General features: G+C 43.0%; 1 protein-coding gene across 22 annotated transcripts in view; it reads right to left on the bottom strand.

The window, feature by feature from the left end:
• ASAP2 (ArfGAP with SH3 domain, ankyrin repeat and PH domain 2) overlaps positions 1-13,549 on the bottom strand; it is a 198,867-nt gene that overhangs the window by 69,611 nt on the left and 115,707 nt on the right. For 11 of the 22 annotated variants that reach the window (XM_011510403.4, XM_011510407.3, XM_011510405.4 and 8 more), the window contains 5 exons: positions 12,818-12,947; positions 8,157-8,242; positions 1,255-1,330; positions 889-975; positions 24-32 (listed from right to left, as the gene is read on the bottom strand). In XM_011510403.4, coding sequence (XP_011508705.1) covers positions 24-32; positions 889-975; positions 1,255-1,330; positions 8,157-8,242; positions 12,818-12,947 — 388 coding nt within the window. The remainder of the gene's footprint in view (positions 1-23; positions 33-888; positions 976-1,254; positions 1,331-8,156; positions 8,243-12,817; positions 12,948-13,549) is intronic. The other 11 variants (XM_011510404.3, XM_047446201.1, XM_047446199.1 and 8 more) reach the window with 1 other exon arrangement.

Below are 13,549 nucleotides of genomic sequence, written 5' to 3'. Positions count from 1 at the left end.
TATTAAAATACTGAACTACTTACTCTCCTAGACTTCGGTCACAAAAGGTAAACGCATTTGGGAGAAAAACAACAATATTCAGTTATAGTACAAGAACTTACAATAAAATAGAGCTCACCAAACTGCCAACAGGGAACTTTATGCTGTCAAGTAGTTTAGCAATTTCTCTAAAATCACTAGATATATGTTTAGATACATTCCTTTTATTAACAAGGAAATGGATTTATACTAAATTCACATTATGATACCCACATTGTAGTGAAAATATAGTAAAATTATCTTTAAAACTTACTTTTTAATGGCTTTTTAAAAACAAGTCCCCACAACACAAACTGTCCCTGCTGACGTGTTAGCACACAGAGACGTCATTACAGAAAGAGGGGAAGTAAGAGAACTAAGGATTTCTGCCTGTCATGATGGAGGCAGCTGTAAGAAAAGCTCATGCCTCATATTTTATAGAACACAATCTCAGGGCTGGCAGAGCCCCAGCTGGTCCCCTGCTACGTGCCTAGGCCTAAAGGGGCAGAGTCCACGTATGTCAGGGTAGGGAAATGACACAGGGCCAGGTACAGGATAAATAGCACAAATGACACATGGTCTCTGTGACGAAGCCACTGAGAGCTCCTTATCTAGCAACTGACAGAGCACAGGGTTTATACACCGCCATTAAGGCCATGCATGTAGTAAATGCTTCCTCCTGAAATAAACATATTTTAAAAGATGGTTTTATAGAACTAAATTGCAAGAATACATTAAATGTTTTACTGGTGCCTGACACAGCCCGAGTGAACTGTGAGCTCCTAGAAGACATGAACTTCATGTTCTTCAGACCCAAAGCCTCCAAGAATGGGGTGAAAACTGCAATCTTTCAAAATTAAATCCCCTCACCTCTTTCTGTTCAACCTGCAATGCGGATTTCAAAATATCTCGAAGCTGTATCAACTGCCTTCTTTCTTCATCCTGGGCCTGTTTGATCTTTAAAAACACACACACACAACAGAACCAATCAGAAAATTAAGACTGAGGTACAGTGAAACGTTGGTGCTCATGGGGCCATTTCCACACAATGCGACAACTGCCTCCCTCGCTGGTCAAACCTTCCCTCCCACCAAGACAGAGGACAGGCGTGGGAACGCCACACTCCACGTGGGCGGCACGGCATGAAAACACAGGATTACACAGAAGTGACATTTAGATGAAAATGTCTGTTGCATTAAGATGGTTTTAAACCACAGTGGGAGGGAAGCTACTCACCGTGTGAAGATCCGTAGACAGCGTTTCAATGGAAGGTTTGAGGCTTTCCACGGCTTTGAGTCCATCCTGAAAAAAACTAGCAGGAAAAAGAAGAAACAGAGATGACATTTCACAAAGGAAAAAATAATTTTGTCAGACAGATTAAAAACTTCTTTAAAGTGACTGAAGTCATTATGTAACTCCTGGGGGAAAAGACTGTATGAACAGAACCTTAAAATATCAGGCAAACCAAGAATAAAATGACACTCAAAATTAGCAGGAGCGAACAGAAAAGGAAATGCAATAAGCTTAAGTATTTGAGATTTTTCTCGACCCATATAAAATGAGGCCTTGAGTTTCAGTTTATAACGGGAGAGGTTCTGCATCTGAAGCCAGAAAGGCCATGGGGCGCAAGTGGAAGACACTGAAGAATGTGCCGCAACAGGCGACCGCGACATGGAAAAGAAAAGGAATGCAGAGGCCGGGTGCTGTGGCTCATGCCTATAATCCCAGGGTGAGGGACTTGGGGAGGCCAAGGTGGGAGGATCACTAGAGACCAGGAGTTCCAGACCAGCTGGCCAACATAGCAAAACCCCTAAAAATACTCTATTAAAAATACAAAAAAAAAAAAAACAAATACAAAAATACAAAAAGCTACTACTCGGGAGGCTGAGGCACAAGAATTGTTTGAACCCAGGAGGTGGAGGTTGCAGTGAGCCGAGATCATGCCACTGCATTCTGGCCTGGCGACAGAGTGAGACTGTCTCCCAAAAAAAAAAAAAAAAAAAAAAAAAAGGAGAAAGACAGAGACAGAGAGAGAGAGAAATAATGCAGAAAAGAACCAACCAAGCAGCTTTGGTGGCCACACTGTGTCTGCGGGGTAGGAAACCGTGGGTAGAGAACTTGAGATCAAATATCAAGAGGAATTTTTTATTTTAAGGCTGAGAACTCAATGCTGTGAGGTCACCTATAACAAGTGATTCAGGAAATACAACAGAGGCTGGACAAGTTTTTCTGCTGGAGCCATGGGCTGGTGTTCAGTGCTGCCTCTGGAGGGTGCTGTGTGTAACCCTTTTGAGAGGAATGAAGAACGGGCATTTCCACGAGCTAAGGAGAAAGTTCTAACCTGTAATGAGGCCTGATGCAGCTCCAGCCTCAATCCACACCATTCCACCCTCTTCATTCACTCAGTTCCAGACATACCGGCCTTTTCTCCCTTCCTCCATGACCACCAAGTTCTCCTGCCCCTGGCCCTCTGCATTCTGTTTCTTCTCTCTAAAGCCTTCTCCTAAGGTGTGTCTGCTTCACCTGGCTGATTCCCACTCATTCTTCAAGTTTTAGGTTAAACATCCCCGGTTAGTGAGGCCTTCCATAATCCCCTACAAGTTATTCCCCTATAAGAGGCCTTCTTATACTTTCTCAGAGCATTTTGTATTTTGCTTCAAAACACTTGCTGTAACTGCAATTATGTATTCATTAGTGTGATTGTTTAAAACAGAATTCCCTCATTAGATATGAAGTTCTAGGAGACACAAAGTACCCGCAAAGTTTGGTGTATTTCAAGCACATGCCATTTATTGAATGAATAACTTAATGAAGGATGGACTGTCACCAACTTTAGCCAGTTTATTAGATACCAAGGAGACTATCTTTAAAAAGTGATCTGGGTTTCACATATGTCATGTGAGGTGATGTTTACTTCTTTTAAACTCAGCAGTAGCTCTATGGGTGTTTCTCAGACCAAATGCGTCACACACAGAAGGCGCCGTGAAAACACTGCAGCGTGGCCTTTAATGCAGCAACTCCAAGGAGGAAGGAGAGGGACACACAGGCCGTGGGGCATGAACTCTGACCAGTGTTTATTAGGAGTCACAGAGGTCAGGATGCTAGAATGTTTTCATTCACCTTTAGACAGACACATCATTCTTTATTTTATACTCTTGTTCCTGTATTTTAATACGTTTTTTTCTGAATATAGAATATGTTTCTGAACTCATCTAATTCTTGTATTTTATTTACGTGTTTTTCTTTATGTAACTATTTTCTTAATCATTTCAAATTCTTGTGAAATAGATAGGAGGACAGAGATCTCTAAGATCTAAGATAAGGAGTAGGAAAAATATTACAGGTGATAAATGCAAAACCACCCAGGGAGAGGGAGCAGGTGTACAGCTCCAAGAATCTTTGCGACCTGGCAATTCTCCCTACGGTCAGACAGAGAGCGAGAGTGAGAGCGCGTGAGCATGAGCCCCGTAGTGGAATCAAGTGCTCAGAGACTTCTCGTCAGGATGCTGTTTCCAGCATGACGATGAATGGTGTACTTGGAATAACAATATGAATTTGGATTTAGATTTAGATTTCATCTCTGTAATAGCCCAGCCAATCTTCACCATCCACCTACCTGGAAAATCTCCTCCCTCTGATTTTTCAAAGTGCTGACCTTCCCGTACCCTCCTTGAGGTGTGTCTTGGCACCCAGACGCCCCTTCAAAGTGCAGTCAGCCCTGGCGTCAGGAGAAGCTTCAAGAAAAGGAACACTATTCCTTCTCCGCTGGCTGCTGTCCCTATGACAGTCCTAACTACATAGCCCCAGAAAATTTTCTTAAGTTGAGCCCATTAACACTTTTCCAAGCTTCACAGAACTTTTACCATCAACATTACCCAATCAAATTTTGTTGTCTATTAAACATTTTCTAGCCTGCCTCACCAGGCTAGAAGGGGTGTATTTCTATCCTTTAAAATACACCCACTTAGAGGCAATTATCAAACCCACCAAGCAGAGTAGCTCCTTTCTTCTCTGGGCCCCACACACCGTGCCAGGGCCCCTCCTGCAGCCTTCACGCCACCACATTCCAATGCGGTGTCTGCTGATGGGGTCTGTCTGTGACACCCGCCCCTCCCTCCTCTGCAAGCTTCTGCAGCATCCGGGGCTGAGCCTTATCTTGACCATGCATTCCAAGTTCACTGAGCAACAGCTGGTCACAGTGGTTTCCAGCAGGTATTGGCTCAAAGAACAAGTCAATTCAACATTCATCACCACCTTTCAAACCATGGTTGTATTTTTTTTGAAAAAAAAAAATCGCTCTGTCGCCCAGGCTGGGGTGCAGCAGCATGATCTCAGCTCACTGCAACCTCCGCCTCTTGGGTTCAAGTGATTCTCCAGCCTCAGTCTCCCGAGTAGCCGGGACTACAGGTGTGCACTACCGCATCCGGCTAATTTTTGTATTTTTAGTAGAGACCAGGTTTCACCATGTTGGCCAGGCTGGTCTTGAACTCCTGACCTCAGGTGATCCGCCCCCCTTGGCCTCCCAAAGTGCTGGGATTTCAGGCATGAGCCACCATGCCTTGCCAAACCATGGCTGTCTTTATTTTATAATGTTATAATGCCCTACTTCTAGATTCCGCTAGAGTACAGGATCTTCAATGTTCAGGAGCAAAGACTAATAAGACAAGTTTTCAAGATATTCCAGGAAAGAGGTAGAGATGAAAATTCCTTCCTTAAATGAAATAAAAATAAAAGAACACGAAGTATTCTTTAAGAACACTTAAAGCGAGAAGAAAAAGCAAAATAACGCATATCTACGTAGTTCCAAGGGTCAACAGCCAAACCTGAGCCCTGGAATCTGGTTTACACAGTGGCCTCTTCACCCTGGCGGAGCACAGCAGTGTGCAGAGGCCCGCGTGTACCCAGCAGGGCACAGCACCCAGCAGGCAAAGCTGTGCCCTTGGGGGCGAGAAGCGGAAACTGGGCGTGTGTGGTGGGGGAATGAGAGGCGCTCCCACACGTGGAAACACGCACGGCTGCGAGCTCTTACTCTGCAGCTGAGTTGCTCGAGCTCCACGTTGTACCCTCCAGAATGTGAATTGAGAAAGTCAAAGCTGCCTGACTGATTTGAAGAGCAGGCAGCGTACACACTCTCTCTCATATCCAAAAACGAAGTAATGGAAGATTCATATTTTTAAAGGTTACTGGGATCATGTCCATAAAAGGCCAACTACTTCACTTTTCCACAAGTGGTCTGTTGCTACCCAACTGACTGGTTTGGGCAAAATAAAGGGGCGGGGGAAGGAAATCCCAGAATAGCTTCTTCTTAAAAATAAAATATCAGCAAGGAAGCGACCCACTTCCTAAATTGCCTGACATAAGAACTGTAGAAGTAATTTGCATGCTCATCACAAAGTAAGAATTTTGAGTCTCCATAAAATAATTCATCTTGAAAACTATATAATTGCAAGGTCTTTTCCACCAAGTAGAGATGAGCTCTCTTTTTATATTTTTTAATATAAATTCATGGGGTACAAGTGCAGTTTTGTTATAGGCCTGGTGGTCAACTTAGGGCTTTTAGGGTATCCATCACCAGAATAACATACATTGTACCTACTAAGTATTAATAATTTCTCATCATCCCCACTCCCTTCACCCTCCTGAGACTCTGCTGTCACTCTACTCTCTACATCCATGGGTATGCCTTTCTTAGCACCCACTTAGGAGTGGGAACATGCGATATTTGTCTTTCTGCGGCTGGCTTGTTTCACTTAAGATAATGACTTTCAGTTCTATCCCTATTGCTGCAAAAGACATGATTTCACTCTTCTTTTTTTTAAATGGCTGAAGCTCTCTTTTAACTTTGGATGAACCACTCAGCACATCCTCCTTTGCCGCCTGACCTCAAGTGCTTTAGAAATGCAACATCATCAAAGCTGTATTAAGAATTCCAAAGCAGAGCTCAGTTCAATTCCACAGTGCAATTCACTGCTGCAAATACGTGCCAGGTAAATGTGCCACACACTGTAGATATAAAACAAATAAATGGCATGGCCCCTTCCTTAAGAGCATATAGTTCAGTGGCACAGAGACACAAGGAAGATGTCATCATGGAGACAAGCAGACGGTGTGGTGGCAACACAGGAGGAAGAAAAGGAATTCCAAAAGGAAGAAGCATCGCAAAGCAGGAATGATCCATAAGCTGGGTCCTAGGAGGAACAGAAGACAGGGAGGGCACAAAGGAAAGAGGCCTTCTAGGAAAAGAAACAATTCTGTACAAAGGTAGGCTGCTGGTGGCACAGCCTGCTCTGGGAAGGTAAGCAGACAGGCATGGCAATTCCACAAGGAAAAGATTTCTTGTCAGTCCACACCTTCCACTCCCGCTGTCACGAAGCCAGGTGGGCCATCGTCATCTCTGGTCTGCACAGGGACAGGAGCTGTGTACACAAGCAATTGCCCACATCCACCCTTGTCCTGTTTGGTTCCTTCTCCACAACACACAGAGTAATCTTGTTACAGCCGAGAAGCTTCCTGAAGCTGCTTCTAACCAACACCACTGTCTCTCTCCCCATCACTGTTTTGCCTTTTCATAAACTCAGTTAAATATTGGCTCGTGTTTCCTACTTGCCTCCCCCATGAGACCCCAGGGTCCGTGAAGGCAAGAACTTTGTTTTCCTCCTTACTGCATCACCAAAACCCCTAATAGCGCCTGGCAGATCACAGGAGTGCATACAAATGGTCCTCTGCTTCAATTTCTTCAAGAGCTTCCCAACATATTTGGGATAAAATCTAAAAACTTTTGCAAGATGTCTGGGGCCATCCACATCCCTAAGGCTTTTCCATGCAGTTTCGTTTCACGCCACTCTCCTTTTTCACTGAGCTTATGTCACCTTGGCCTTTTTCCTGCCTTAAGACCTAGACCCTGCCTGGAATGTTCTTCCCCCACTCCTTATCTGCCGGCTCCTACTCATACTTTAGATCTCAGATCCATGTCTCCTCAGAGAGGCCTGCAGCTCATTCAAGAAACAGCCGAGTACCTACTGTGTTCCGGGCACTGTGTGCTGGCTGTTGGAGACTGTATCAGGGAACAAAATAGAAAAACAAAAAACAAAAAACTCTACCCTAAATCTTTATCTAAATCAGGTCCCTGTATTATATTCTTTCTTAGATTCCTATACTTTAAAACAATTTTGTAAACATCTAATTAGAAATTTGTCTCTTTCAGTCTAACTTCCCTACTTGACTCTTTGAGTAGGAACTATGCCAGCACTGTACATCACTGTGTCTCTCGCCTCTGGTCCAGCACCTGACATGTGTGTTGGGTGGGTGAGTGAAGGAGCCAGAGGCCTGTCTATATCAGTGACTGGGGGTCGAGGAGCAGAAGCCAGGTCAGAGACGTGGGTCAGACTGAAGTACTGACACAGATGGCAAAGCTGAGTACTTGAGCAGCCCCTGCACGTGGAATCCTCTCCTTCTCCTCTACTAACATCTTCCTTTGCTCATCACAGTCATTGGCTCCACAGGATAATATATAAAAGTGTTTTCTTATTTTAAAACACTGCATTAACATCGTATCATTTCTCTTTTAACAAACATCTGAGAGTTGCGGAATAGGTCAAATGAGTTTGTCCCTCTACAAAAAGAGCCAAAAATAAATATATCTGGCAATTACTACAGATTTTTTATGTTGTATATATGCTTTTATTTTTAATTAAGATATAATCCCTAAGCCATAAAGCCATAAAATTCATCCTTTTAAAGTGATTTTTAGTAAATTCACAAAGTTGTGCAATCATTAGCACTCACTTCTGGAATATTTTCAATATCCCACAAAGAAACCCTATACCCGTTAGCAGCCATTTCCCATTTCCTTCTTCCTCCAAGCTGCGGCAATCACTCACCTGCTTTCTGTCTCTGTGGATGTACTTATTCCTGACCTTCCAAATAAATGGGATCATACAGTACATGGCCTCTTGTGTCTGGCTTCCTTCATTGAACGTGTTCTCAATGTTTACCCGTGTTGTCGCATGAGTCAGCACCTCATTCCCTTTACTATAGACTTCTAAGTGGTGTTTATTTCCTATGAGCTATCTATAGATCTACCAGAAGTTGCCACACATGAACAAACATTTAAGATAACATAACAGAGAAGAACTTACTTGCATTGGGCATGAAAGTATTTGATCAGATTCTGAAGTAAATCTACTCCCTTTTTAATCTTGATTTCGTTGACCTTCAGCAGATACTGTTGAACAATGAAAAGGAAATGTCATGGAAGTAAGCAGAATACGAGTTTAAAAGGAGCTTCTGAGGACTGAGATGATTTCTTCTACTTCTTTGGCATCTTTTACAATGCGTAGAGTGCATGATCGACACTTAGTATCGCCTGGATTCCGTAACCGTTTCTTTATTTTGGGGCCATATGAATTATCTGACAGTCAGATAATTAAATATTGAAGTGCCAAAAACTCCTAATAATAAGACAGTCTATCCTGGCCTGCTAGGAGAAATCTTCACTCTAGCTACATGGAAGACTATGGATGGTTCAAATAAATGGGATTTCTAACCATCTCAAACACACTCCTGCCCAAGGTCCCTTACTTTAGGAACAATAACTGCTAACGTATTGTAGCTGAGATGCTTGGCATCATGTCTCTCGTCCTGAGACATTTCCCTTACAAGGAAAATAATGTGATTGTTGGAAAAAAACAAAGTTTAATTGAAATGAATTAAAGCTATTTTTAACTTGGAGAATTCATTAGTGACCACGAAGCTATCAGAAAGCCTCAGGGAGCTACAAAACCAGTGTCAGGAAATAGAAGGACTTCATGAGTCCCCATCCCCTCCGCTGTCAGAAGATGATCTCTGAAATGGAATGTCCCCTGGAAAAGCTGCTGATTCATGCCCTGGCTCTCAGCTGTAAAGGATGGGCGGGGGTGGGGTAGGGGTACCCAAGTTCAGTTGCTGGCTGAGGTCTCTCTGCAGCCCAAGGAGGAGGTGGAAAGCTGCTGTGAAACTGTAAGCTACAAATTGTCCTTCTGCCTGTAACAACCACCTATAGGTCCTTCTTTCCCTCTTTCTTTTTGATATTAAATATTTGGTAATGTATCAAATTTTTAAACGTATGTACATTTTGACCTAGAAATTCTACTCCCAGGAATTTATTCTAAGAAGATAACCACAAAAGTTTACAAAGATGAACAGAAAAGAAGATACACTGCTATCCTGTTTATAAAAGTAAACAATGGCAACAGTCCAAACCTAATGAGTGGGAAATTAACATATGGTGCATCCATACAGAAAATACTGTGCGGCCACTAAGCCAATAAAACCCAAAATTTCTGACATGGACATCAACATACTAGAGAGTGAAAATAGGTTATAAAGCATCAGCAGCGAAAGATCTACTTATACGATTTTTTTTGAATGTATACATAGGGACATATAAAGATGTTTACTTAAATGTCAAAGTGGTTATCTTTGGATAAGTAAAATTTGGGGGCGATTTTTAATTCCTTTTATATATATTTTCTTATATTAACCAATTTTCTTTAAAAGTATATACTATTTTTACAATCAGCAACAGAGGATCTTCTCACGCCTTCTCCGCTCACAGAAGGTCTGTACTACCTATTTGACATACTGAATTTCTTTATTAAATGAATTTTGAAGAAAGGGCTCCATAGCTTTAAAATAAAAGCCTGAAAGCCACTCTTCTGGATTAGATCCTGGGCAACTCAAATTTTAAACACCTAAACAACAGCAAGCACTTAAAGCTTGAGAACTTCAGTTTGGGGAAACAGTCAAATAATTTTAAAGTCATGTTTGTTTGTTTGTTTGTTTTTGTTTTTTTGTAGAGACAAGGTCTCACCATGTTGCCCAGGCTGGTCTTGAACTCCTGGGCTCAAGGAATCCTCCCACCTCAGCCTCCCAAAGTGCTGGGATTGCAGGTGTGAGCCACCCTGCCCGGCCTTTTAACATGATTTTAATGCAGGCAATCTAATTCACTTCAGAGTTGGATTCTCAAGGAACTGTTTTTCAAATGATCTTTCTCACCCATGGAAAGAAAGGCCTTCACGGCCCATGACTATCTGGCCAACTTCTACACTCTTCATCAGATGTCTTCTCCTGTGAAAACTGTGAGTTTACTGTTAGATAAGCCCACCTCTGCTTTTATGCATGCATATAGTACAGCTCTCACTCAACTGTGAAACATTAGTGCCTGACCCCTCCAAGTGCCAGCTCTGCAGAGCCAGGACCCAGCACTACCTGAGGACTGCTCGAAAGATGGCTCAAGTCTATGACTTAGAGGCATCATCTACACAGTGTATTTCCATTAAAATAAATGACTTAGTCAGTTCACAGGATCAATTCACCTGGATACAGAAGAGAAGTAGTAACCAGTGCAAGGTGCATACCACAGGAAGCAACGACAGAGCCAAGTGGGGAACCAATTACTCCTCAAGTCATGGCTATGACCTTCACATACTACTTGAATGTCAAAATTCAGTACGCATTTTAAGTAGTCTTAAAGTGTTTAGGTAAATAGATGTCTACTTTACTAACCAAAAAGAGCATGACCTGAACACAAACACCCCTTTCCAAATTCATTCTTTGTAAAACACTACTACTTAATTTCACCCTGATTGTTTGTAAAATGCTACTACAGTACTTAATTAGAAACAATACCCTTACAGAAGCAGGATTGAGAAAAACAAAAACAAAAACCAATACTTTGTGCTTGTATAACACACAGCAGTTTCCTAGTCCCTGTCTCATGCTGTCTCGCTGATTTCTCTGCCACTCTATGAGGTAGGCCAGGAAGGTGGTATTATACATGGTATGTGCTTTTCTTTTGAGAATGCAACCTCTTACACTACACATGATATGTGTTTACAAAAAAATGTGTATAAAAACATCCATTCTCCTGTCTATAAGAACCCTTTAAGTTTAATTAAAGGCTTTATCTTGAGAATTCATTTCATCAAGTGAATATTTAAAAATATTTGCTTGTTTTTCATCTAGTGAATATCTCTAAACATTCTCTCAATGAAAAACAAGGCGGTAAAGGAGGAATCAAGGAGCAAAAGACACGAGACAGACATAAAAAAAAGTAAAATAACAGAAGTAAATCCAATCATATCAATAGTAACATTCAACGTTAATGGATTAAACAATCCAATCGAAAGGCAGAGATTGTCAAACTGATAAGAAAAACATGATCCAGCTATATATATTATCTATAAGTGATACACTTCAGATTCACAGGTTGAATGTAAAAGGGTGCAAATAGTAACCAAAAGAGCTGGAGTGGTGATATGGTTTCAATGTGTCCCCTAAAAGTTCACATGTTGGAAACTGGGTCCCCAATGCAGCAGTGTTGAGTGGTAGAACCTTTGGGAGGTCACTGCATGAGTGGATTAATCCATTCATGGATTACTGGGGGAGTGGTACAATTATGAGAAGAGTGTGTCTGCTATTAAAAAGCCAGTTTGGCTGTCTCTTGTGAGGCCCCCACCATGTGATGTCCTGCACTGACTTAGGACTCTGCAGAGCGCCCACCAGCAAGAAGGTCCTCACCAGATGCAGCCCCTCAACCTTGGACTTGGCAGCCTCCAGAACTGGGAAATTTCTTTTCTTTATAAATTACCCATTCTCAGGTATTCAGTTATAGCAACAGAAAACAGGCTAAGATAAGTAGATATTCTAACATTAGACAAAATGGACTTAACTTTCAACTGCCACCCTGATTCCTGGGACTGATTCCTCTCTGCTGACCACTTAAGAGTCTGCTCTGGGAATAAAAACTCATTTAAATACATTTCTAAGATATATGTATTTATAAGGGTTAAGCTCCTGCTACAATTAACAAACATACATTCCAAAATCAGAAAGTGCCTTCTGGATTAGCTTTGTTGTTGATTGCTCAGAGGGAATTAAGAGCTGGCCAATGCCAGTTTCAGTGCCTGTCACAAACATCACCCACACATTGTGTACATTTGAAACCTAAGTTTGCACTGCTATGAGAGGGAAACAAATACCATCCAGTGCAAGGGAGCTTCGCTGGCACTGCCAGGAGGAATTAACCCCAGGCAGAGGTGGCAGCTGTTTCCATGTGCCATTTGTATACACGTACCTGGCAAGCAAGGCACAAAAATAAAAAATCTGTGAGCAAAGGCCTTCATAATCCATGGTCTCTGATCTCAGAGAAATGCTCTGAGAGTGTCCATCCTGCTGTCTCCGCCTCACTAAGGGAAGGGCTGAGGCTGCGGGTGGAATGGAGTGGAGCAGAGAGGCGCTCCCCAGGCCACCTGGGCCTTCGGGCTAGATGAGTGCCCCCGCCTGAGCAGGTGAGGTCTAGCAGGAAGTCAAAACAGGTGACTGGACTTCCCATCCACTCACAGACACTGACACAGGCCATGGTCTGTCATCGCTGTATGTTGTTTTCAGCTGACTTCTCACCCTCCCACAAGCCAGTCACTGACTCCATTGGTACAAGGGAACTCAGAGATCTCATTTAAATACACCCAAGGAATAAATATTTTAGCAAGAGTACGTACGTGAAGCCAGAAAGAACATTCTAGACATTTAGTGGTTTTTCTCTACTTTTAAGAAAATGTTGGTGTTAAAGTAACCTAATTCTACCCTCCAGGAGGCTAACGCTTCCCTAGTAAAAGAAATGTCAACACAGGGGCAAAGGGAGTCCAGCAATGCATGTGGTGTTTTCTCTGAAGCCGCTGGTACCGGTGAGATGCTCCCACAGGTGAGGGCAGAGCCGGCACAGCCTGGGCTGTAGGACCTGCCTTCACCACCGCCTTACCTCGCACATCTGTAGCTGGAAGAAGCGCCTCTCCTTTTCCATCTCTTCGGCAATTTCCGCTCCGCTTATTTCAGTCCGAATCATCCCATGGAGCTTGGCGTGTTCCTTTTTCTCCTTTTCTATCTTGGTTCTACGTGTGAAAGCAAGGATACATCAAGATGCCTGTTGGCACAGAACTCAACGGGACAGCCTTGAAGCCACCCCAGTACCCAGCCTGGCGAGACCAACGCTCACCACACGTTTCAGCACAGGCAGCCTCTCAACTCCCTCAAAAGGAAAATGGGTGTCCTCACGAAGATGTCAAACCGGGTCTTCCCACTTACTCAACAAGTATTTCCTAGGCACCTGCTTTGAGTCAGGTATGGGTCAGAGGAGGTAGGAAGTCTGCACAGGGCTTGGAGGGCTCCTTTGGCATCAGCATTCAGAGCCTTCCTGCCCTCTAGTAACCCAAGGGCACCGTCTGACTCTTCCCTACCCACTGTTTCTCCTCCTGGACTTCCTCCCTAGTCTCTGTCATCACCTCCTCACTCAGTGAAGCCAGGCCAGCTCTCTGCCTTGACCTACAACACCGCTCATCACTGTAGAAGACGACCAACCACCTTTCCATGCTGTCGGCTTAATTATCCTTTCTACATTCATCTTGTGCCTAACCTGTATTACCTAAATGTCGAGTGTGCAGTTCAGGGTAAAAACTGACCAATGAGCACATCCAAAGAAGAGCCACCAGGGTAA

Source organism: Homo sapiens, chromosome 2 (genome assembly GCF_000001405.40).
Source record: "Homo sapiens chromosome 2, GRCh38.p14 Primary Assembly".
NCBI classification, from domain to species: domain Eukaryota; kingdom Metazoa; phylum Chordata; class Mammalia; order Primates; family Hominidae; genus Homo; species Homo sapiens.
The sequence above is the reverse complement of the archived record's forward strand: the minus strand, read 5'-3'. Positions and strand labels throughout refer to the sequence as shown.